The sequence below is a fragment of the Homo sapiens genome, chromosome 20 (assembly GCF_000001405.40).
Source record: "Homo sapiens chromosome 20, GRCh38.p14 Primary Assembly".
Taxonomy (NCBI): domain Eukaryota; kingdom Metazoa; phylum Chordata; class Mammalia; order Primates; family Hominidae; genus Homo; species Homo sapiens.
In genome coordinates this window covers 16385966-16412436 of record NC_000020.11, presented here as the reverse complement: position 1 = coordinate 16412436, position 26471 = coordinate 16385966, and the positions used below count along the sequence as shown (strand labels likewise).

Here is a 26471-nt window from a genome sequence, read left to right as displayed (position 1 = left end):
ACTAATACACTATCATCCCCTCTGGCTACTACCAACTCTTTCTCTTCATTCATAGACTTCTTGAAAGAGTTGCCTGTGCCCAGTACATCTGCATTTCCTTACCTCTTCTGCATTCCTCAGTCTCTTCCTTCTGGCCTCGGTCTACTACCAAATCAGCTCCCACTAACACCACTTGTGACCTCTATGCCACCACACCCAATGGTGTTTTCTAGTCTTTTTGTCTCAGTTGACCTCTGAGAAGCATTCTGCATTGTTGGCCCCTCTTTTCCTTGGCTTTGGAGGGTTTCTTTCTCCCTCTCTCATGGTCTCTTCTCTGTTTCCTCTGTAAGTTTATTTTCTTCTACTTGGCCATTAGAAGTCAGCATTCCTTCAGGTGCCCAATGTTAGGTCCTCTTGTCTTCTACCTCTGTATTTTGTCTCAGGTTTCTTTCCTACTCCTATAGTTTCATTTATTAGCAATGAGTCACACACACACACACACACACACACACACACACACACACACACGTTGAACATTCCTCATCAGAAATCCGAAATGTCCAAAAGTTTTTGAGGGCCAGCATAACACCACAAGTGGAAAACTCCACACCTAACCTCATGTGATGGGGTCGCAATCAAAACTTAGGTCCACCACACACACAGTTTGTTCAATATCCACAAAGGAAAAGAGGCCCCCCTAGTCCCCTTCAGCTTCAGTGTATCTTTTCGGCACATGTCCAGATTCCCCATACGAGTATGCCCACAAAGGACAAAAAAATGGCAGATGTTCAGGCCACACATGACAATAGTATGTTCCCCATGATACCCTGCGCAGGTCCAAGACCTGCATGCATTACTCACTGTGGGTTTTTTTTTCTTACTTATTCTCTGCTCTGTGCTGTAAAGATAATGTTTGAACATGTCAGAAAGGTCTGCAGCTACTCCTGTGGACAACAGTGATAAGAAACACAGGAACCATTTATGTTGATCTGTGGCACAGAAGGTAAAGCTGTTAGAGAAACAGGATGGTGGTGTTAAGTGTGAAATGTCTTACAGAAGAGTATAGTGTTGAAGTGGCCATCATATATGACCTGAAGAAACAGAAGGCTAAGTTCTATGCTCAAAGTAATAAATACACATAAATGAAAAATAGAAAAACACAGCATAAAGCTAAAAGTGAAGATCTCAATTGTGTATTAAAAGAGTGGATCCCATCAGTGTCACAGTGAATACTTGCCACTTAATGGGAAGCTGATCATGAAAACAAGCAAAAATCTATCACAATGAACCAAAAATTGAAGGAAACTGTGAATATTCAGCAGGCTGGTTGCAGACATTTAGGAACAGACACAGCATTACATTTTAAAGATTTGTGGTGATAAAGTATCTGCTTACTATGAAGCAGCAGAGAAATTTATTGACGAGTATGTCAAGGTCATCGGTGATGAAAATCTGACACCAGAACCAAGTCTGTAATGCTGATGAAACATCACCGTTTTGGCATTATTGCTCTAGAAAGACACTGACTGCAGACAATGAGGCAGCCCCTACAGGAACTAAGGGTGCCAAGGACAGAATAACTGTGCTGAGATGTGCTAATGCAGCAGGCATGCGTAAATGTAAAATTGCTGTGATAAGCAAAAGCTTGCATCCTCCCTGTTTTCAGTTCAAGGAGTGAATTTCCTACTTGTTCATTATGCTAACAAAAAGACATGGATCACCAGGTGATTGCTTATCAGCAGCATATAATTCAGAATCAGGAATGATGGTGATGCTAAGCAACTGCAGATTGTCCACATGGGTGGCTCAGATAGTGGCACCTTTGCTTTCTGATTGTTCCCTGTACACTAACTTTGTTTCATTCACAAAATTATTTAAAATATTGTATAAAGTTACTTTCAGGACTCTCTATAAGTGTATATGAAGCATAAATAAATTTCATGTTTAGACTTGGGTCCCATTTCCAAGATATCTCATTATATATATTCCAGTATTCTGAAATCCAAAAAATAATCAGAACTCCAAAACCCTTTTTGTCCCAAGCATTTTGGCTAAGGGATAGTCAACCTGTATATGTGTGTGTATGTATATGTCTCTCTCTCTATATATATATACACACACATACACACACACATATACACACACACACACACACACATATATATGTAGGTACGTACCTACATATATATATATGTACACCGACATATATATATGTACCTACATATATGTATATGTACCTACATGTATATGTACCTACATATATGTATATGTACCTACATATATATATGTACCTACATATATGTATATGTACCTACATATATATATGTACCTACATATATATATGTACCTACATATATATATATGTACCTACATATATATATATGTACCTACATATATATATATGTACCAACATATATATATGTACCTACATATATATATGTACCTACATATATATATGTACCTACATATATATATATATATATATATGTATATATATATATATATATATGTAGGTAAGTGGGTAGGAAGGTAGATCGACATCCCAGACTTTTATTCAAGAGCTTCAAACCCATATTTTCATTTGCCAAATGCATCTCTAATTCATTATGTCCAAAACCAAACTCATGATTTTTCCCCACCCCATCTTGGTCCTTTTCCAGTGTTCTCAGTCTGTGCAGAAGACTCCCCATTCAACTAGTGATGCATTCCAGAACCCAGAAGCCATCTTCCTCACCCCCGTCTCCTCTTTGTGTCTAGCCCATCATCAAATCATATTGATTTTATCTCCTACATATCTTCCAGTTTTGTTTTACTTCTCTGCTTTGGTAACCCTTTCCCCCAGTCCAGAGCCATCATCACTTACCTGGACCACTGTAGTAGCCACCTGGCTTGCTTAGCCATATTCACTCTTGCCCTGTTTGGCCTTTCTTCAGTCACCATTGCAAGAATGATCTTTGGTGAAACTGAAATCTAATCATGTTATGCTGCTGCACAGAGCCCTTCAGTGTCTTCCTCTTACAACTAGATAAAACACAAGATCCTTTACATCCTGAAACATTTGAGTTGATTCACTTTCTCCCTCCTTCTCAAGCCTTATGTTGGTGCAGTGCTCACTCTTGTTCCCTTTGCCATAGCCACATGGTTGTCTTCCAGTCACTCATTCTTGGTGGCATCTTCCTCCTCATTATTATCATCAATCATCATCATGATCATTATTGCTTTTATGCAAGACACTCTCCCAACTTGTTCTCAGAGCTTGTTTTAGACACCACCTCCCTTGAAGATATCCTTCTCTAGTTTCCCCTATAATAAACCCTTATCATTGTTGCTCTTTGAGCCCAGGACACAGTTCTTCTCCTTCAGCTGCAGCTTTGCATTTATTTGTGGAATCATTTCATTATTTGATTATTTATCTCTCTCTCTGACATTTTTTAAAGCTCCATAAAGGCAAAGCGTATGTCTGAATTGCTCAACTCTGTATCCCCCATGTTTATCACAGTGACTGGCATACAGTAAGTGTTCATTAAATATTTGCTGAATGAACAGTGGCATCATGTAAAAATGAAGCAAATTTTTAAATTCACGAGATTTGTTGAGTACAGGTGCTTAGAAGAAGAAAGGGAAGGAAACCAGCCTTAATGGACCCCTTTTAACATGCCAGACAGTTGACTCAAACATTATCTAGATGGAAGCACTGAATTGTCATGATAGTTTTGCTTTCTTTTATAACTCCTTACAGGGCTTTTTGTGTGTATTTCATGCAGATAACATGGGTGGCAAGATTATTTTCAATGATTTAATACAATTTGAAATATGTCTCTGAAATACCATTCTATTTTTCCATTAACATATTTTAGCAATTTTCAACTTGCATGACTGGGCATTTGATTAACAGAAAAAAAGAAGAATTGGAGATGTAATTAACACCTGGAATGTGATTGCTTTATTAATCTCTAATGTAACTTTAACAGCATTAAATATACATACATCCTAGACGTGGCTGCTTAGCTTTTGGCTTACTATGTAGTCCTAGTCGTAAAAGGCATGGGAAACACCTTTTTTATCATGGTAATGGTCTTGCCATAATTGGAAAAAATACAAATGCAATTCTGCATGACAGGGATAAGCAAATTGTAGAGTGGATAATATCTGCTGCTGCCCCACTAGGGCTCCTAAACTGTCTTATCCTCCTTTTCATAGTGACTTTGTTTCTGCTAAATAATGACAACCACTAAAACCAACCCATATCAGTTGCTCCCTGTCGTTGTTATTTAAACCTGTTAGGTTTTAATCATATTGAATTTGAAACTCCCTTGAGTTGTCCAAAACAATACATCAAATAGGCAGGTGGATATGCTGGCCTGAGCTCCAGAATAGATATCTGGTATTATGATATTTCCTGCAGGGCCCAGGTGAAGATATTACCCAAGCAAGAGGCTAGTGACTGTGGTCAACCAGAGGTCACCTGTGCAAAGGAGGCAACTCTCAGCAGCCCAGGGATTTTTGCTAAGTGCAAACAAAGATCTACTGATAGCATATCTTAGGAATTTTGAAGGAATGCTAGAAAAGTACCCAGACTTTTATGTGAACTCTCCAGACTTTGAACTCTTGCCAACTAAAGATTTTGTTTTTGAAACATGACAGGGAACACAAAAAAATACATCTATAGACTGGAGTTTTTCCTCTGGCCACCAGTTTGTGACCTCTGGTCTAAACTCTCATACTTGTTCTCCGGTCTTCACAGGCTATTTCATCTATCCAGTATTGATTCTTGATGCTGTTTCAAACATCCTGAACTTTGGATGGACATGATTCTCTCCTCTGTCCTGAGCATAGCAGGCCATTCTCCTTTCTATAGCTTAGACTCTCTCTGCAATTACCCAACATGGAACACTTCCTCTTGCCCTCTGGTTATCCGGTGAGACCCAACTTAGGTCCTTGGTGCAGAAGCCTGTCCCCAGCTACTCCAGGCTCCACTCGTCACTTAATCACACACTCAGCTAAGTGTGCTAGACACTTAAGCACTCACCTGTCATTCTTCATGGTTGACTGTCAGTGCATGTGTCTTATCTTCATTGATGCCCTGAGGCATTGTAGACTCTCATACGTGGATGGGACCATACACGTGGCCTCTCATACATGGATGGGACTTCAGAAGACACAGTGAACCTCTTCTGCAACATCTTTTCTCTTACATGCCTCTGGTGACAAGGAGCTCACAGCCCTGCAGGCACCTGTGCCCGCTTTAGACAGCTGTGACCCTAAAATGGGTTTGTTTGCTTCATCAAGCTGAAATTTGCCTCTTCCCATGCTTTTGTTTTCCTTGGGCATTTCCCTTGAATTATTTTGCCCCTTGTGCAGTTGTTTTCTGAATAAGGAAGACTGTCATCAGTCAAAAGGACCCTTTCTTATGGGTCTAATGTGGAATTTTAATAGGGTTTTGAGAAGAAGCAGTGTTTTTATTTGGAAATAGACCATAAATGTACACAAGTTCTCTCCCGTCAAATTCTGAGGGAGATTTTAGTAATAGTTACCTATATTATGCCAATTCCATACGTTTTCTTTTGAAAGCACTTTTCTTTTGAGATTTCTACTTTTACCAGTATCAATAAACATTCCTAAAGTTGTGACCATATGCTTTGCTTGATATTATATCTCTTTGGAGAACTGGTTTCCTTTTTTCTTCCAGACAATCAAAAGTCTAATTATATGTCTGTTAAGTTTTAAATCTCATAATATGTTGTAATGCTTAGATTCATCACTTCTGCTGGATATTATGGATATGAGGATATAATGTGTGTTGTGACACTCAGCTGTAAAAATAAAGGTATTTCCAGATTTGAAATTGTCTTAAGTAAGCAGACTTTTGAGACTAAAGCTTTCCCTTATTATTTTATAATACACTGGAAATTACATTTCAACAGTAGAATTCCATGTTATGGTATTGGCAACTGACCAGACTGCTTACTGTAAATTCATTACTGTTTTTGTGTGTTTTCAGGTGCTGTGATTCTCTTGGGAAGAACCAATATGTTTCGCTTTAACCATCCAAAGGAAGCCGCCAAGCTCAGGGAGAAGAGGAAGGTGAGGGACACGGCGTCTCTAGGAGGGAACCACTGATCGTATGTGAGGATGAGTGGGTGGTGGTCACTCTGGTTCCAATCTTTTGACTTTCTGGGGTGCAGAACCGTGGAAAAGTAGTTCTGTGATCTGGATTGATTCTAGGGAGATTGTTTCCCAGCAGATGATTGGCTGATGAAGTAAGAGAGCAAGCAAGTAAATTCTAGAGCAGACAGGGAGAAACTGCTCCTCCTAGATCCTTCTCTTCAGCCTTCCACCCTTCCCACCAAGGAACTGGGCATCATTTTGCATTAGGTGGAGAGTGACTTCCTCTAATCAGCATCTGTTAGGAATTAACCCAACATTGGAATCACATTAATCCAAAATCAGCCACAGTAAACAGATTTTTCATTGAGGTGGGAAGCGAGAGCAGGGGTGGGTTTAGGACAACTGGGAAAGACTTTGGTTTGGTTGGAAGGGGACGTCTAAAGGGCAGGACGTTTAAGTGCTGATGGGGAAGGAGCTAAGGACCAGAGAAAGAAAGAAAGAAATCTGTTCAGGGACATCGTGGCTGGTCCTTAGACTGAAGAAAATAATAAAGGCTACAGCTAACATTTCTACGAGCCAGGAATGGTGCTAAACTTGTACATATATTCTATCTCTTTATCTGTGCAGCAGCCGTTAATACCCCCATGCTATCACCCCCAGGTCAAGATGAGAAACAGACCAAGAGCAACTCTCCCTAACTTGTTCTGTAGCCGGCAAATGGGGAGCTTTGGCTGCAGTACTGACTTGAATACCAGAAGTGTTTGCCCTTGACCACTGGTTACCCAGACTCTCATTTCTGTCTCCTTTATAAGGGATGCCCGAGGTTGCCAGTGCCCTAATTGGAAAATAGCAAGAAAGCTGCAAACCTCAGCCTTCTCCTGGGTGGCTTTTTCCGGCCAGTGGAGCCTCTTATCTGCTCTAGCCCAGGGTCTCCCTAGAGGGTCGTTTTTGGTACACAGTTTCAGAGGAACAGAGGGAAAAAACATGTTTGCCAATAGCTTCCCTTGGAAGCAAAATAGGTCAAGCTCTTACTTTTGGTCTCCCTTCACCCCTCCTGCCTTCTTCTTTATCGTTCTAAGTGTGAGGGAATATCGCTGATTATAGGAGATTGCTGCCTGCCAGGTAATGGAGGATGGCAAAGATATTGTGACCCCTTTCCTTGACTTTAACCGGCAGGGGAGACCAACTGGGTTGTGGAATTCCTGATGAATTTCCCCAGCCCTAGAAGGCCAAGGTCCTGCTGTACTTAGGAGAAGGCTCGGGTTTGAAATGTATCAGGGCCTTACTGCCCATGATCTGCTTTCCTCAGATAGACCAGTTAATTGTGGTGCGTGTTAATTAGGAGCATGTGCACCTCATTGTCTCTCACATGTTGGAAGCAATGAGTCCAGAGCAGTGGCCTTTTCTTCTCTGCTAAGGTAACCACTCTGCCCTGTGTCTGCCCTTAGAGTGGCCTTCTGTCCTCCTTCAGCTTGTCCATGACCGACCTCTCGAAGTCCCGTGAGAACCTGTCTGCAGTCATGTTGTATAACCCCGGGTGAGTGAACAGCAGCATCTCCTTCCCTGTGATGATCACTTTTGCATTTATTGTGCCAACTCCATTATAGTCACAAGGTAAAAATAAAACTTCTGCAACGGCGCCTCCTTATCAAATCAGCCACCGTCATTTTCCGAGTTCCTTTCCAGCCCTTACTATATATGTGCATAATTTTACTTAGTTATAATCACAACATAAACAGTTTTGCATTTTCTGATTTTTTGCTTAACAGCATAATAAGCATTCGTGAGTGTTGTTACAAGCTTCATTATCATTTTCATAACTGTCTAATATTTTAGAGTTGGCACTTTGATTACTTAGTGCATGATCCCTTTGGCTTACGCACTTTTATCTCGTTTTATAAATTATAACAGAGGCAGCCTGATTCTTAGGCCATCCAATGGAGCAGGAAATTATCTTCACTACTTCGAACACTAGGGGACTGCTGAGAGCACAAATGAGAGTGTTTTAAATTGACTTAGTGGCTGGGTGACCTTGGACAGTCAGCTTAACTCATGTCCTTAGTGCTTCATCAATAAAATGACAGTGATAATGAAAATGCCTAAAAACAGGGAACTTTGAGGGCCCTTTTCGGTTGTGAGAGGTTCCATAATTTTATCTTTCCTACCAGGATAATCTCATGTAAAATAATGGAGGTAAATCAAATGGCTGAACAAGTGAAGTAACAAGAACAACATTTTCTAGAACTGTCATTTATTTAGTAGTTACTATATGCCAGGCACTATGTTAAGCACCTTGAATCCGTGATCTTTTAATTCTCACAAACCTATTCCCATTTTACATGTGGGGAAATATTTATACATTTGCTCTCCGTCAGTTTCATAGTCAGAGCTGAAGCATGCATCCAGGTCTATCTGATTCCATCACTCATGCTTTGACTCTGTCACCTCCTGCAGTTGGGGGACTGGTTCCATTTTCCATTGCTCCCTCACCCCCAACCCTGGGATTTCTCACAAACATCAAGCTGTGTGCTGAAAGCCATTCACTCCTTCAGCCCAAGCCAGTGTTCTGGTTTGTGGAAAGCAGATACCTACAAGGAATTTCTTCAGTGTCATAGGAGGGATCTTTGATCACATTTCTGGATTCCTCATTTTATGGGCCAGCAAGCTGAAGCCCAAATCCAACACCTGCCTGAACTTAAGAAAAAAAGCCATGTAGTACAGCACTGTGGCTGTGGACTCCTGGGCGCCCCCACCCCCGCTTTCCAGGATTTCTGGAAGCACCAGCAGTTGACTCCCTTGTGTCAGCCTTTGTCTTTCCTATTTGGTCTTTCCATTTTGTTACATGGTCATTGAGGAAAGTTGTGCTCATTAAATAATTCTGTCCTGAAATAAGCCATATCAATCAGACCTCTGAAATGGGAGAACATTCTCAGAGCAACTAAATGGTAAGTACTTCAGAGGCACGTTTTGTTGTAGGTCTTTAATTCCTTACAGTAGTTTTAGCAGTTGCCTTTTATTGTGACCAAGATGGAATCACTAATGTTTAAGTTTAATATAATACACAGATCTTTAGTGTAATTTCAGCTAAAATAGTGTGATCCCATCCGTTAAATATTGTTTGTCTAGTTAAATTGTCTGTGATATGAAGAGTGCTGGCTTGGTTTTGTCTCCTGGCCCAGGACCCAGTTAGTTAATCCTGGAATCCAGGTACTATCGTTATTATCCTCCACAGTGGTGGTACCTTTTAATGTGAAGCCATTTGCTAATGTAATATGGCTATTCAATGGCTTTGAAAACCAAAACGCTATCTTCACTCAGCCTTTCCTTTGAGCACAGGGTCACTAGCCATGGGCCCCTCTTTGCCTTACATATATACGTGAGATGGAAGTCTTTCTTTTTTCTCCCTAAAACAGGAGAAAGTGTAGTTCTCTTAAAAGTAATGCCATTTTTTGTTTTTAGTTTTTAAGTTCAAATAGTTTTCCTCAGTGTTTACAAAATGCAGGTCAAAGTTACTAGTTTTCATCCTCAGAACTTTTCAGTGACTTTCCATGGTCTAAAAAATAAAGTCCCAGCCTGCACCATGTCACTCGGGCTGTCCACTGTCTGTGCTCATCTCTGGACCTCTCTCCAGGTGTTCTGAGCTCCAGTTTTCTGCTGTTGTTTTATTGCTCAGTCACATGTGGACTAGCCTGTGCCTCTGGGGCTTTCCTTTGCTAGTTCCAGAGCCTGGGATGCATTTTTGCCTGGCTACCTACTCGTCCTCCAGGGCATAGTACAGACAAACTCTGCTGTGGATGCTATTCCTGACTTTCTTCCCCACAACCAAAAATCAATGTCCCTTCTTCACTGTACATTGCTCCATTTCTTTCCTCCTTATTTTGTCTTCTTTGTAACATATATTCATCTGTCAACAAATCCTCTCTGAATGCCTCCTATGAACCAGTCAGGATTCTAGGACGGGGGCACCATTGCCAGTAATCCTGAGAAGGTCAGCTTGCATGCTTGTTGGAGGAGAGACACAGTCAACAGATAATTTAAAAATAAATCCAGGAAGTGAAAATGAAATGAAATCAAATGTCTTAGGACAGTGTTTGATGGAGTGATCAGGAATGGCTTCCTGAAGAAGGGATGTTTGGTCTAAGACTTGTATGGAGAGAAAATGACACTCATAAAACAGAAAGGGGGAGAATGGAAAGCATTGAGACTGAAGGGGAAAGCAAGTGTGATGGCATCAAAATGAGAAGTGAAGAGAGGGCCAGAGTAGATGGGATATAGTAAGCAAGAAGAAGAGTGGTACAAGTGAGGGAGGGGAGGTCAAGGGCCAGCTAATGTAGGGCCGTGCTGGCAATTGGAAGGGGTTTGACTGTTTTTTAAGAGAGCTGGCAAACCACTAGAATGATTTAAGCAAGAGAGTAACCTGAAGATGTACTTAATACAAATATCAGGATGTATGCCATTTGGAGAATGTGGCATAGAAGCAGAAGACCATTTAGAAAGCTATTTCCTTAATCCAAGTGAAAGGTAATAGTGGCTTGGATCTGCACTTTAGCCATAGAAGTGGAGCAAAGTAGAATCAAGGAATTAAGAGTAACTCCCAGGATTCAGGTTTAAACAGCTGCTGCAGGTGGTACACTCTTCCCTGAGATGGGGGAGACAGGGAGGACAGGCCTGGGCTAGCAGTCGAGTAAGAACTCTGCTTATGTATACTTCCTATTAGAATGGAAGCTTTTTAAGGTCAGGGGCCTTGTGTTATTCTTTTCTGTATAAGGTGTCATTCACATAACATGCTTAATAAAAATTCTGTAAACAGATTAAGAATAAAATTTTAGTAAGACACCTGAGTCCCTTTGGGAAAGGCTTTTAAAATTTCTTTGGGCGTGGATGTTCCAAATACTGGAATGAGACATATTATGCAGAGGAATGTGGTTTTGTGGCCTAATCTGTCTGCCTAATCCCAGGGGATACTGCAAGTCCCAGGGGATGCTGCAGTTACTTGAATAATCTCAAAATCATGTTCAGGATCTTTAAGCCATAGGTGGGAAGAGGGCCTCATCTTGAAATGAAGAACTAGGCCAAGGCAATCAGAGAATTCGGGAGAAGCAATCTGTTTTAGACTGAATTACAGTGGTTCTGGATGCATCTGACGCTACCATTATGCAGCCTGTTGACCTGACTTCAAGTACACATTTTCTCTCTGCTACCCCTTGCATTATTCATTGACACAAATTCAAATAAAAATTATTTAATACTTCATCATACTTTCTCTCTGGTTCCCAGGCCCCTGCAACTTGCCACCTGCTGTAGAAAGTAATTGCCCATCAATTTTAGTTGCCTGAGGGGTGGGTTTCCAGGGCCAAATCTTCAGTTAACATTCTTCCCCATGGTAATGACTTTTAAGTGTACAGTTCAGTAGTGTGAAGTGCATTGACATTACTGTGCAACCAGTTTCGTCTTGCCAAACTAAAACTCTGTACTCATTAAATATAACTTCCATTCCCTCCTTCCCCCAAACTCCTGACAATCAGCACACAACTTTTGTCTCCATGAGTTTAACCACTTAAGTAGAATCACTGGTGTGTCCTCTTCTCACTGGCTTATTTCACTTAGCATAATGTCTTTGGTTCATGTTCATCCACCATATAGCATGTGTCAGAACTTCCTTTCTTTTTGTGGCCAAATAATATTCCATTTTACGGATATACCACATTTTGTTTATCCATTCATCTGTTGATGGACTCTTTGATTGTTTTCACCTTTTGGCTATTGTGAATAATGCTGCTATGAACATGGGTGTCCAACTTGTTTGTTTGAGTCCTTGTTTTCAACTCTTGTGAGTATGTACCCAGAAGTAGAATTGCTGGATCATATGGCAGCCCTATTTTTAATTTTCAAGGAACTGCTATGCTATTTTCCACAACAGCTGCACCATTTTGCATTCCCACCAACAGGGCACAAGGGTTCCAGTTTCTCCATATCCTCATCAGCACTTGTGATTTTCTGTTTTTATAGTACACATCAAAATGTGTGTGAGGCAGTATCTTATTGTATTCTTTTCATCTTTATTTTCTTCTTCTATTTTCTCAAGAGTGTCCATTGTTGAAAATGGTGTTTAAAAATATAGAAAGAAAATCTCAAAATGTAGTTCCCCTGGTAAGTATAGCAAATAAATGATGAATGTAAATCTAACCTGGATGGATTTCCTGATGATTACATGACCTCTCTCATGTTCTGCCAAGTTCAGTTCAACTAGCTCATTTGCATGTTTCTCAAAACCCAGTCAGTCCAAGGAGTGCCTGTAGCCAAGGAGCAGCATGGTCATTCATCCTTGCATTGAAAGGCATTGCTCTGACCTCTCAGAAATTGGCTGGGCAGCACAAGCCCTGGAGAAGCTCACAAGGATCCTAGAGGTGAGGGCCTGAACTGAGGCAGCAGTGGGAGGAACCTAGAAGGGTGAGCTACAGAGACAGTCAGGGCAGGAAGTCATGAGGTTTGGATAATGAATTGGATATGGGATGTAATGAAGGAAAAGATGTTGACTTCCAGTTTCTGGCTTCAGTAACTGGTTGGGTGCTGCTTGCCACCCAGCTGAAACAGAAATATGGGAGGAAGAGGAGCAGGTTGTCAAGAGGAAGGGAGGATAATGAGTACAACCTTGAAAAACTAGGCCCTGGGCCTTGAACTTTCTCCTGTAAGTGACTATGACTCCGTCAACGATCAGACACCCCATGGGAAAAGCTCGGGTTTGTGTGGCCTGTCACAGGTGATATTTCTCCACTTGGAAGATGAAGGCAAATCCCCCTGTTGAATAAAATAGATGTTCACAGCCCTGCCGTTTTACATCATTCATTCAGTGGTGCTTGAGGGCCCATCATTTGTCCAGCCCTGTGCTGGGGCTTGAGTGATTGAGACAGACCGAGGCTCAGTCATCTCAGAGCATGATTTAGTGAACAGGGAAGACACTTGTAAAGCCTGTTAGAAATCAGGACGGTGGTAGTATTATCTTTTCACATGCCAGACTTGGATGAGTTTGAAGATCTTTAAATTAGGGAAAGCCACACATGTCACCCCAGACCTGTGCTCCCAATGCATTGCATCTCATTGTAAGTCACCTCCTAGGGTACCTACATAGTCACCAAGCCCTGTGAGCAGTCTTGTAGCTTCAGCAGGTGACCAAGCCCTGCTGAGAAGTGCGGAGTCTGGAGACCCTTAACCCCATATTTGCCTCATCACCTCTCCAGAACCAGTTTTAACAGGAATCAAAAGCATTGATGGCACCTCCTACTCAAACAAACTTGTTTCAGAGCTTTCTTCTGCTCTTTATTACTTTCCCCCTCTTAGGCCAAACTAGGGGCTGACCCTCTTAATTGTTGTGTAATACAAAGCAGGTGTCTATTAAATGTTTGCTTCCCTGCCCGCCCCAGTATACACAAACACAAACACGCCTCCTGGCCTCCTCCTCTGTGCTAAGCCCTCATGCTGGCTTCTGCCTAGCAATGCTGGGACTCCCCTCCCTTGCCCAGGTCCCTGTGAAGCCGCCTGCTTTCCTGTCGGTTGATAACAGTCATCACCCACTCTATCCCTTGGGAATTTTTTTCCTTCCGCAATTGGCTCTACATGAGTACTTTGTCCTCCTAGCACTCTTCCTCTTGTTGCCCCCACCTTCAGCAAGTATATAGGGATCTTTCACTCTGGGAAATCTTGTCGTCCATCACTACCAAAGAACATGTAGGACAGATTTTTTTTCCTTAAATGGACAATGTGGTCAGTACATGAGGAGCAGCAAATGTTGCAGAGCTCCGATTGGCATGGTTACCACTGTGATTCCTGACTTTCTCTATCTGATGGCACAGGGAAGACTTGTGGGCCTGTCCCTGGAGTCCTGTCCCTGCCATGAACCTGAGGAAGGAGCTCACCACACCTCCTTAGCCCTTCCTGGTCACCCCCTCCTCCTCTTCTCAGCTTCTGGCCTGGCCCCTCAGTACCTACCAGGTGGTGACTTCCAAGCATCAACTCAACCTGATCATCTCTGACTTTGTTCTCCAATGTTATTTTCAGTCACTCTCCACTCGGAACTTTATCCTGTGATTTACATGGGTCACACCTTTCTCCAGGCCTCTGCATCTGTAATACTGTCTGTGACGCCTTCCCCCTCTTCTTCCCTTGGCCAGTCCTCTTCCTCTTTTGAGCTGAGCATAGAGTCGTATCCTCAGGAAGCTTTCTGTGCATTTCCAGTTGGAGCTAAGTGCTTCCCGTGTATCCTCTCGCAGGCATTTTGTGCATTCCTGTATCTTAGCTCTTTCCAAATTTGTTCATTTGATGTTTGTGTATTTAATTGATGTAGGCTTCTTGAGGGCAGGCACTATGCTTCATTTATCTCTGAATCTCCAGAAGACCCCACAGAGTGGGCACCTCACAAATATTCATTGAGCTGTAGGTTTTGGCCAGCACATGTGCTCTCAGCACAAAGGATGCGTCTGCCCTCTCACAGGTCTGCCCAGGTCTTTTGTCAGTGGTCCCTGTGTGCTGTTTTCTATCTCCACATTACTTGGCCCCTATCTTTGTGAGTCTCTCACCCACACAGATGTGTTTCTACAAGTTTGGTGGCATTACAATTACCATACCTCTTGGTTTCTTTGGTATTGTGTAGACATGAGTATGTTTTTGCAATTGACTGAAAAATTGCTGCATAGTACTCAGTTTTTCCCAGAACAAAGCTCTCCAAAAGAATGACTGGTTTGCAAATTATTGTATCCAGTAAGCTCCAAGTTATCCTCAGAGCAATGTGATTTTTGTCTGTTCAGCAGGCCATCTACTAATTTTCTAAACAGCCCATGTCTAAAAAATACCCTGTGGTCTGAATTATAGTAAGATTTGCAGTTTTAAAAGCAAAGTTCTTGTTCCCCAAGAACATTGTATCAGCCTAACTGGGCACATAGAGTTGGAACATAGTTTGGGAAATTACTGCTGGCCCACACCTCAAACTCTCTGGAAGCCATGATTTGTACGCACACATGCGTGATACTTGGTGCCAGAGAATTTTTGGATTAGGCAGAGAAGCCTGGTGACTTCCTTTGGGAGTTAGTTCCACATTGGAGAGGTGCCCAGCCAGGGTCTTTGCCAGGAGATAATTTTCCTGCAGGGGAAACATTCCTCCTCAGCTGGTGCAGCGTCTTTAAGAAGAAACCAAGCCGACTGCTCAAGCCTCCTCTGCCTTGCTTTGAGACTGCAAACAGGCAGCTAATTTGGCAAGATGCAGAGGCTTTCACAGCTTCTTGAAAGTGCTCAAAGCAAAATTAGATAACTTCCAAGCTCATTTCAGTCTTGAAAATAAAAGAATTTTTCACTGGCACATTAGCCTCCTCTGAGCACTAACCAGTAGTGAGCCCATTTAGATGGATGTATTTGAATAATTAAATTCTAGCTTTCAAACCCAGTTAGAATATCAAAAATCAGGATTAAACCTGTTTCTGGTGAGCCATTGAAGGAGCATCATCCCAAGGAGTGCAGCAGCCTGAGGGGGTTTGGTTAGCATCAGGGCTAGTGCAGACCCAGCAGCCACGGAAGGCCCCTAACTCAGAGGTTGGTCTGAAGTCACCGACAATCGGGGAAGAAGACGAATGAGTGATACTTAAATGTATTTTTTACTTTAATGTGTTCATTATGGGAAATTTAGAAATCATAAGCAAAAAAAAAAAAAAAAAGCGACTACAGTTAACATGTTACCATACCTTCTAGCCCATACCTCTGTTTCTTCCACTGTCCATCTCTCTGTCTCTGCCTCTCCCTCTCTGTGTGTAGATGTACACACACATTTATATATGTACACACATTTATATATATATATTTATATTTTATATCTTTTACCAAGATGGATTAATATTGGACTTTAGAGTTCTTTGCACTTATTATTTTTTCTTTCATAAATTTTTTTACATTATTTTAATGTCCATATGATATTCCATTGTATGACTATTCCATACCTCAGTGCTCCCCAGCCTTTTTGGCACCATGGACCAAGTTTCGTGGAAGACAGTTTTTTCAGAGACAGGGACAGAGGAGGGGGATGGATGGTTTCGGGATCAAACTCTTCCACCTCAGATAATTAGGTGAGTCTCATAAGGAGCGCGCAACCTAGATCCCTTGTGTGTGGAGTTCATGATAGGGTTTGCGCTCCTATGCAAATCGAATGCTGGTACCAGTCCGCAGCCTGGGGACTGGGTACCCCTGCCGTACCTTATTTAACGTCTAGTGGTAGGCATTTTGTTGTCTGTTTTTTAACTATCACAAGTTATTGGGCTGAAGAGCTTTGTAGCTGAATCTTTGCATTTTCTCATGATTAATTCCTCAGCGGGGAGGAAGTAGCTGTAGAATTGCCAGGCCAGAGTACATATAGTTTTAAGGCTCTCGATGCATGTTCACAAATTATTTTACAGATTGTTTATACATATATCACCATCATTCCCACTGATAGATGAGACTATCCTTTTTATTTATTTATTTTTTCAAGCTGAAAATGGGCCTCCTTAGAGTGTTGAATGTGTCGATATAATTACACCCTCCTAGACACAGTTCTAGGCTGTATTCACAGGCCCTAGAGTCTAGGGAATCTGGCTAACAGTGGCTGTCTCTAAAAGCAAGTCCTGGCCATCCTGGTCATCACCAAAGACTCACCAAGCTCCTAATTAGTTCTGTGCTGAGCTACTTGCTGTACTAGAATGCTCTATGAGATTAGCATCCGCCTTCCTGGTGCTTTCAGATTAAGAATGGAAATGGATTTCTGGAATGTAAAGCTTGAAAGAACTAGATTCCAAATGTAGAGTTCTGGGATTTGAATACCAAAAGCCAAAGGCACCAAGGAGATAGTGAGGGCTTCTCCCCAGATGACAACATTTATATGAAAGGAAATAGTTTTGTTTTCCTCCCTGTGTCCCACTCCTTCCCTATTTCTTTCATATCTTCTCCCTTGGCCTCCCCTCTCCTCCCCTCCCCTCCCTTGGCCTCCCCTCTCCTCCCCTCCCCTCCCCTCCCTTGGCCTCCCCTCTCCTCCCCTCCCCTCCCTTGGCCTCCCCTCTCCTCCCCTCCCCTCCCCTCCCTTGGCCTCCCCTCTCCTCCCCTCTCCTCCTCTCCCCTCCCCTCCCCTCCTCTTCCCTCCTCTCCCCTCCTCTCCCCTTCCTCATCTCCTTTCTGCCTTGACTAAACTGGGAGGATGAATACATCACATTAGGGAGAGAGTAAGAAGACACCGATGACAGGGGTATGCCCTTTGTTGTACTGAGCCTTAGCTTTGCTGTCCACGACTGTACACTTCCAGAAAACAGACATAGAATCTAGTTTGTTGTTTACTCAGTGCACAGCAGCATACCTGGAACTTAGACGTCTAATAAACATGAACTAAGGGGAATGCACTTTTCCCCTTTGCTTTCTAACAATGTAGAAAGGGCTTCAGAAACAGAATCTGCTGGTAGCTGGAGATATTCTCAACAAGGTTTGCACCTTCATGTGAGGTCATGGTCCCCACTGCGTGTCCTGGGAGGGAAGAAGACCACATTCCCTTGCAAGCACACTTTTCTCTTCTCACTCACTCGCTGCTACTTTATAATTTGTCTTATCCTTTTTTTTTTCTTGCTCACCTTGAGCATGGACTTTTTATACATGGAGTTGGCAGTATTTATGTTGCTGGTAACTTGGTAGTTAGCCTGTGTTTTAGTTGATGGTTATTTACTGTGTTTATCTCTACTGGTTTATTTTATTGGGCCTTACCATTTTTCAAAAGTTTAGTTTGCTGCAAGGCTGGTTTCTTCTCCAGTTTTTGGTCTCAGTTGTCTTGCGTTTTTATGGACCATTTACTAACTTTACAGTTGGCTATAGATTGCCTTAAATAGCTTGTTAAGATACACAATCTTGGGGAACATGTGATGAAAGCAACTGAAAGAAGTGGGCTTCTTCCTCCATTAACTGAGATTAGTGTTAATTGGAGACTTGCTTTTTTCCTTTTTGTCCGTGAATATTATTCCACTGTGAGCCACTTTAACTGATGAGCTTCGGGTGTTTTCTGTTTTCAAAGTAGGTGGGGAGATGAGCTCTTAAATTCAAAGAACAATCTGTCTTTATTCAGTTACTTCAGATTGTATTGTCTGAGTGGTGGGATGCATTTTGCTTCAGCCATTTTATAACCACACAATCTAAAACTGAATTGTCAAGGTCAGCTGAGCAAATGAGACTGTTCTGGTGAAATGATGAATGGCAGTTACAGGCAATGGTGGGAGAAAGTAGGTTTCCTCCTAGTCCTACATGGTAGCATGATTTTCCTTGGCAGTAACATATTAACTTGATTACGTGTCACCGGCTCTGTAATTTGTTAACTCATTTGATTAGAACATGTTGCTAATTCAGTCAAGGTTTCCAGTTGTACACATTCATTTTTGCTTCTGGATCTTTGCATATGCTATTCTCTCCTTCTAGAACACTTGTCCATTTGTCCACCGGCTCTTCACATGACCAAATCCTACATTGTCTCCAAAATCTCCATGTAAATGTCACTTCCTCAAAGAGGATTTACCAAACTCAGTCCAAATTTTACCTCCTGGGCTACTTATTCATAGCATCCTCTATCTTTTCTTGTTAGCACTTTAAGTAGTTGGTGATTATATCTGTTTGTACAACTGTCTACTCTTGGTCTCTGTATTTAGTGGTAAGTGGAAGAGTCTGGTTTTTTCAGTACTGTATTCCAACTTCTAAGTAGGTGTTTAAGGGAATAATTCTTGACTGAATGTGTGTATGTGTGAACTGTTTCCAGATAAGGAACTTCCATACCCTCCTTTTATCACAGACCATGACTCTTAACCTGCAATGGCTGGCTTCCAAGTCAGTGACACCGTATGTTTAACCATCACCAGCAACTCCCGTATCTCATGACCTAAGGTTAATTGTCATCATTGTTGGAAATAAATTGAAATGAACCACAGATTGATAGAAGCAAAGCAGAAGTAAAACAATTGCTATAACCAGTGTAGATTGAAAAAATTATTTTAAATAGGTAGTTACTCCCATTATAAAGTGAAATGCTTATTATAAAAAGTAACACATTCAGAAATGAATAAAGTAATCACAAGTATTCATAATCTTTTCACCAAGAAAACATGATTGGTTTATATTTGTAATATTTGCTTATATTTTAAGTACATATATTTAAGTGTACATCAGATATTGTAATTATGCATTATATAGAGTATTTAAAAAACAGAATTGAGATTGCACTAGATATACAGTTTCTACTTTTTTTAAACATTTAATTGTGTGCTTTTTCTCACGCCGTTGAATATGATTCTTCATTTTATGTTTATATCATTATTGATTTAACTTTTGACTAATCATTAAAGACACTCAGAACTATTTCCTTTTTTTTCCATGTAAATTGTTGATAACATTTCAATTAATCTTTATATAAATCTTGGTCTGCTTTGTTATTTTGTCAGCTAAATCCACGCCCAGAATTCTTTCTTTGATGGCAACTGCTGCTTAAATTAAAGCAACTTGGGGAGGAATAAGGAGGGAAATGTCAGGGAGAGAAATAAGGGAAGGAAGGACTATACCACTGGGTTGGAGACCTAGAAAAGAAAATGCACTGCAACAGAGAGCTGAGCATGGCAGACAGGCTGGTGCTCTGAGACCTCTGGCAGCCCTGGTCTGGGATACAGAGGCGCACATTTTCAGCATTGCCTGGTTAGGCGTATCGGCATGTTGTCTTTCACATGTGCGATCTCAGAGGCGTACACATGTGTCAGGTGGACTTGCAAAGCTCTTCACTTCAACAGTGTATCGTCATGGCAGAGGAACTGCGGTGCCTTTTATGAATCTCTTTTGCATCTTCAAGTTTCCCTTCTCTGTTCTCTGTTCCCTCTACCCACAAATGTGCACAGTGTTTCTTTCCTTAAACCAGCCCCTTCTTGGGCCACCCACTATAGACGTCACCAAAATGGTTTTTCAGGATAATTTCCCATGTACATTTCCAACAATATAAAATTGTGTACATAAATCATGGTGCATCTATGTTATAGAATCCCATGATATTAAACTATGTTGTAGAATAATAGTTAATGATTTGCTGATTTGTCCAAGGTGTATATTATGAGGAAATGATTAAATAATAGACTCTCTGGTAGGCTCTTCTCTGTGAGTGCATCTGTATGGCCGGAAAGGCTGAGGGCTGGGAACAAAATAAAGGAGTCATGGTGTAGGACACTTACCTGTGCTTTCTAAATTTTTTGCAGTGAATTATTGTAAACATGAGAGCATGCAGGGTATTAAAAGTTATTTCTTACGGCAAAGAGATGGACATCGGTTGACACCATCTCCTCACTCAGGTGGTCTGTAACTCCTTGTCATTGTGTTTCTGGCTGTGAAGCTCATGCCACTGTCTTCAAAACACTACCCATAGAAATCACCGGTTGAAACCTACTCTGTGCCTTACAGAAAGCCCTCAGGATACATGGTCAGCCAGGTGGGGATCTCTGTCCTCTGAAAACCCCAGTGGAGGGGGAGACAACCTCTGCCCTCTGTGACCTGAAAGGCCCTGAGTGGTGTCCACCCTAGCTCCCTCTTGGGCCATGATTCTTCTCTTGTGGCCACCCTCCCTTGGTTTCTTCTCCTGCTGGCACCATGTGGTCCTTCTGTACTTCCATTGTCCTGCACACATCCCCTCCTGGCCTGTGGCCTGGCTCATCCCTCATGTTGGCACCAGATGCATCTTCATGGCCACTCCCTTCCTTCATGCAGCTCTGTCCTGAATGTCCTCTTCTCAGTCCTTCCTCTTCCCCAGCTTTATGCTTTTTCATAGTACTTATCTCACGGCATACGCATTATGTATTAGTTAGCTCAACCCCACACTGGTATAGAGGTTTATGAGGGAAGAGACTTGATTTCTTTTGCTGAGACCACAGTGCCTAGGATAGTGCCTGGCATGTTGACCAGGTGAATTATGGGCGAGTGAACCACCAGTTCCTGAATGTCCTGCCCCGTGCTGTGATAGAGGACTCATGGGCAGGGGAGGCAGAAGAGAAGCTTGCCCAGGAAGGTGCCCTCGAGAGTGTGTCATCTGGACCTTTAATATTCTGCTCACAGTCTAACTTCCCTGTTATTTCTCATCACTTCCCTTTATTTAATCAGAGCAGTAGCCAGCTGAGGCTCTGTATAGCTTCCTCTGTGTACCTCTCATTTGTCTTCCTTCTGTTTTTCTTCCACTGGATCTTCCCCCACCCACACTATGCTCATCACAATTCTATCCGTTTTTCAAGGCCAAGCTCAGACAACACCTCCTCTGCAAGGCTTCCTCTCATCCCTATAAATGCTGTCCCTCCACCCCGTCTCCTGTTGAAAACATGCCCTTTCCCACTGGGCTCCTTACATTCTGTGTGATCGATATATGAGCATGTTTTCTTTCACTCTGTTTCACTCACTTAAGAGTATCCAAAGGCACGCTGTCCATTCTTTATTCTACTCAGAGTCCTGCCTGTTCACAGCAGGTGCCAGGACAAGTTTTGTTGTATATGTAGAATGCATGGCTGAAGGAAGTGGGAGGAAAATTATGTGGTGCATTCTTCTGGTTTGTCCAATGGGAAGAGGTATATTTTGTAATGATGGATCATTTTTAACTTTTGAGAGGCTCCTTCTGGTATAAAAAGTACCATGGTTTGGTTGAGAAGGTGAGATAGAATTCCAGCCTGGGTAGAAGAATGGATGAGGAGTTGGAAGAGGTGGGCTTGAGTCCAGACTCTTAAAAGGAGTTCACCTGGGCCCTCTCTCTCACACTCTATGGGCCTCATTCTTCTGGCCTGTAAAATAGGATGGAGGGGCAGGGGAGGTGGGGTGTGTACGAGTTCATTGTATGATCTATTTCAAGTGTCTATCCAGTCAGACTGCCTGTGATCCTCTGGCTTGATTAGGAAAGCCTCTGGGTTTCACATCTATGGTCCTAGCTGTCATTTTCAGAGCAAGTTATACCATTGCTATGAGAAATAGGCCGGGGAGAAACTTAGTGAAAATGCTTATGATATCAAATTTTATTATTTTTTAAAAAACCAATCCTTTTTTCTTAGGGCACTTTCCATTTGCAATGCAAAAGGCTTAAGACTGGCTCCTTGGAAAGTCTTTAGTGAGTACCTTCTAGACCAGCAATTTGGAAATTTATTAGAAAACCATTCCCAGAGTGTTTTGAATTTTTAAGTTATAAACTCTGACGTTTACTTAAGAGGGTTTAATTTCACAACCTTCTAGAATAAATTGCATTGTGAGACTTCTTGTATCCCACCCCCATCTTGATACACACCCCTCGAATTGTAATTTTATGTAAGTCCGCCTACTGTGGGATACCCTGACAATGATTTGAAAAAAGGGTGAGTGGGAGTGAGTAGTGTAGAAATTCTAATTGTCTCTACAAAACAGCTATTCCTACCTTTCTAATGAAAGTTTACCTGAGAGCTAATTCACACAGGAAAGACTTCAAGGCCTTTCCATGAAGAGCTGGAAACCTGATGGATGGCTGGGTTCTTCTTTTCATCAGTCTCCCAGAGCCTACCCTGGGTGAAATAACTGCTTTCTGCTTAGCCTTCAAGGAACATCTAGAATGTTAGGTTCACAAGGCTAGGAAGAAGATTGGATAGGACAAGCACAAACCCCTTCACCCAAATTCAAACATTCTCTTTAGTCTTTAAGATCCCCTAGTCTCCATGGGATTTGCTCAGTTGTGAGGTGCTTGAGAAGGCTGAAGTTTCCTAGGGGATGGTAGTGTGGTGAAAAGGTCAATCATTTTTTGTCTAAACCATTGAAGAACCCTCTGTAGTCGGAACTAAACCCTAGTGAAGCATCAGGGAAAGGTGAAACACCGTCCATTGAGTTCTAGTCCTTTTCTGGTTCTCTGGACTGAGGAATACTACCGAGCATTCCAGGCAAAAGGCCAGGAGTTCTTTCAAAGATGACATATGCTTGATCAGAACTAGCTGCATAATTTGCAGAGTTCAGTACATATTGAAAGTTGGGCCTCTTGTTCTAATATCATTAAGAATTTCAAGATGGCCACAGCAGAGAATCAAATATGGGACCTGTCTGAGCACAGGGCCCTGTGCAGCTGCATGGGTCACATGCCCATGAAGTAATCCCTATATTTGACAGTAGCCTAAAAGTCACCTAGGAAAAAGCCAGGCCTACGCATTGACCAAGAAGTTTTTCCTTGTCTGATCATGTGCCCACTGAGATAATAGAGTAATATCCATGCCAGGAACTTTACCAATATGACTGTCCCATAGGGAGACCGCCTCTGTTGCCAGGGGGTCTCCCTTCCGTGCATGTTGTGGGCTGGACTCAGCTTCCGTTACCCTCCCTATCTACCCGCACTGCAGCTGCCTGCTCAAGCATTGACTGGACCTGGGCAGTCATACTCTGTTTAGAAACTGAAACGACATCATAGGTACAACACGAATCACCATGAAGACACACAAGGATGCAGGTATTTATGCTTTCAGTTCATTTAAATCTTCCTCACTTCTCTCTCCTCCCTTCTTTCTCCCTCCCTCCTTCTTTATGGTATAAGCTGAGAAATTCCCACCCCCTCATTTTTTTATTGCCGATGATAACAGGAAGATTAATTGAAGTATGTGCAGTTATACCTAAAAATGGTAGATCTCTTTTAATGTAAAAGAAAAGGCTATCTCTGATTTAAAAAAAAAAATAGGTTGTATGCTATGCTTTTTTTGTTGGACTTAACACAGTAAGTATACTTCCAAGTGTCATTTAAAAATGTTAAAAACACCTGCAAAAATTACATTCTTTGTGGTTTCCTTTTAATTATAACATTTGGGAAATTAGAATGGGGGGCCATGATAATTCCAGTAAAGTAAGATAATGAATTACACATATTTAAAATAAAGCCACCTTCAAATACAATTATTCTTGATGTTCTCTCCTTGATAATGACACACTCACATTTATATTTTACATTCTACTGAGTTTTACTATCCCAAATAATTATCATTGATTATGGAAATAGGTGCATTTTGGAGTATGATTAGTAAATATGTAATATTTAACAGAAATGATCCAGTGTGAGCAGCAACTCATATCACTGCATATCTAAAAATCTCTCTAACTTTGGAATGACTCTCCCCTCATACTGTTTGTGATTTAAGACCAAACATCTTTACGGCATTTTTTGTTTGTCTTTTAAATGTTACTCTTATTTTTGAGGAAACAGGTATCATTATTTACTAAAGGCATTTTGCTTTCAGTAGAAAACAACCAAAGTTTCTACCTATTTAGAGACTGGTCACAGAAAGAAAATCACAAGTCTTCATTAAGAATTAAAATGAGAATCTCTCTCTGATTTCTGACTCAGTACTTTACAGTACTACCTTCAGAGGCCAGAGCAACAGCCTCAAGCGCCTGATCTTGACAACTTCCCTTAATACACGTACTTCCCCTTCTCCATCCCAATCAGACACTCTAAAGTGAAGGCTTCGCCTGAGGAGGACCTATGATTTCACCAATCCAGAGACTCTTAGATCCTCCTCCAAGCTGCTCCAGACCACCCTTCCTCTGCCTGCTGGAGCACTTATGAGCCTCACTTGGGACCGCTGCCTGTCCCACTTTTTGCCTTTCGCACTCTTTGACTGTCCGTACAGTTGCCTTCTCCTCCCCTTCCAGACATTTCCTTCTAAGCCTTTCATCATTCTAAGTCGTGATGTTATCTTCAGTGATTCTTTGAAACTAACTCATCTTGCAATCTAGTTACTTAAATAGCACTCCCTTCTTCAGCATGGAGACTTTCTTTGATTTCTTTTCCTGTAAGCCTTGTCTTGTCGCCACTTACTTCCCTATCCAATTAAGTCCCTCATCTCCAGCACTTGAGCCATCCACTTCCCAGATCATCAGATGATCCTTCTGTTCTTCCACTTATGTGAGTCTCATTGATTCTAGAACCATTGAGCTATCTCCCCACCCTAAGCCTATACCTAGACATCTAAGCTCAGTGCAACCGAGAAAACCACATCAACACAGAGATCAGTGCCCCTGTAAATTAATAGTCTCTAAGCTTGAATGATGCCCAGCCAGCCCTTTCTGCTCATTTCCTCCATCAGTTCTCTTGCCCACCGGCCCCTTCATTATTACAAATAATGTTCCTGACTCTTTTACTTCTAACCCTGCTATTATTTCTCCTCACTCTTATGAAGAGGAGTCATTAGGCAGAGGAGCTTGTTCCTGACTCCATATAGAACACAGGAGTCCTAAGAGAGCAACACCTTTGAATCCCATGTCTGCTTTGCATTCATCCTTTTCTTCTTCTTCCTGTCCCAATGAAAAAACTCCCCTTTTGCCTTTCTCAGACTAACTGCCCCTACCTGTACTATGGATGCTATAGGATTAATAGCTAGTATTTATTAACTAAGTTAACAGTGGTTGTGAGTACCCTCATTGGATCCTCTCACCCACTGAGGACTAGGATTATTTTTGAGCCTGTGTTCAGATGAGGTAATTGAGGTGTAGGAAGGTTGAGAGATTGTCCCTTGGTCATATAGGAGCCAGAATTTGGTCTGGGCTGCACCCATGCCTGAACCCTTGCTCTCAGCTATGGCGCTACCCTTTCCTTTCCTGCCCGCTCAGAGACCTCTCTGTCTATCAGATATTCCCAGCCTCTTCCCATTTTTTCACTCAATCTCTCTGTCTCCTGCTTGTTGATACAAGGATTTAAATAGGCACAAGTCTATTTCATCTGTTAAAATGAGCACCCATTCTCCCAAAACCACCACCTCCCCTTTACAACTAAACCTACCAAGAAAGCGCTCTACTGTATTTACATTCACCATCTCCAGGTTCCTCTCACTCACTCATCAGACCTCTGCAGTCCAGCCCCAGCCCCAGCCCAGCAAAGGTCTCTCCAAGATGAACCTCCACGTCATGAAGGTCATTGGGTGCTCCTTGGGCTCTGCATTTTACTTGGCATTCCTGGGTTATTCCATGCTACTGATCTCTTTCTCTTTCTTTAGATACCCTCTTCCCTCTGCCCTTTCCAGATTTTTCTCTGAGTCTCTAACTGCTCACTCCCAGCCTCATTAGAGGGCCATTTATCTCTGCCCGTCACTGTGAAGTCTGTAATCTTTCTGACTTTGCAGCAAGCTCCTTTATTCTCCTTCTACACGTGTGTCCTGGGTAACCTCACCCACTCTTGGGGCTTCAGTTCTTGTCAACATGCCAGTGAAGGCCAAGTCCATACCTTCAGCCTTGATAAGGGCCTGCATACCAGCTCGTTGAATGTTTCGTGCTGCCTGCTGGACGTCTCAGTTGGATGACCCTTTGTAAACATTGGATTCTATAAGTGTAAAACTGAGCTTAGCTTG

General features: G+C 42.0%; 1 protein-coding gene across 17 annotated transcripts in view, besides 1 other annotated feature; it reads left to right on the top strand.

The window, feature by feature from the left end:
• KIF16B (kinesin family member 16B) overlaps window positions 1-26471 on the top strand; it is a 301345-nt gene that overhangs the window by 161012 nt on the left and 113862 nt on the right. For all 17 annotated transcript variants that reach the window (XM_047440266.1, XM_047440264.1, NM_001199865.2 and 14 more), the window contains exons 16-17: window positions 5981-6063; window positions 7536-7624. In XM_047440266.1, coding sequence (XP_047296222.1) covers window positions 5981-6063; window positions 7536-7624 — 172 coding nt within the window. The remainder of the gene's footprint in view (window positions 1-5980; window positions 6064-7535; window positions 7625-26471) is intronic.
• Window positions 19730-19789: a silencer, noted in NCBI's record as "silent region_12682". NCBI's record gives its function as "represses an Ori minimal core promoter by ATAC-STARR-seq in GM12878 lymphoblastoid cells {active_cell/tissue: GM12878}" and the evidence as "EXISTENCE:reporter gene assay evidence [ECO:0000049][PMID:35858748]".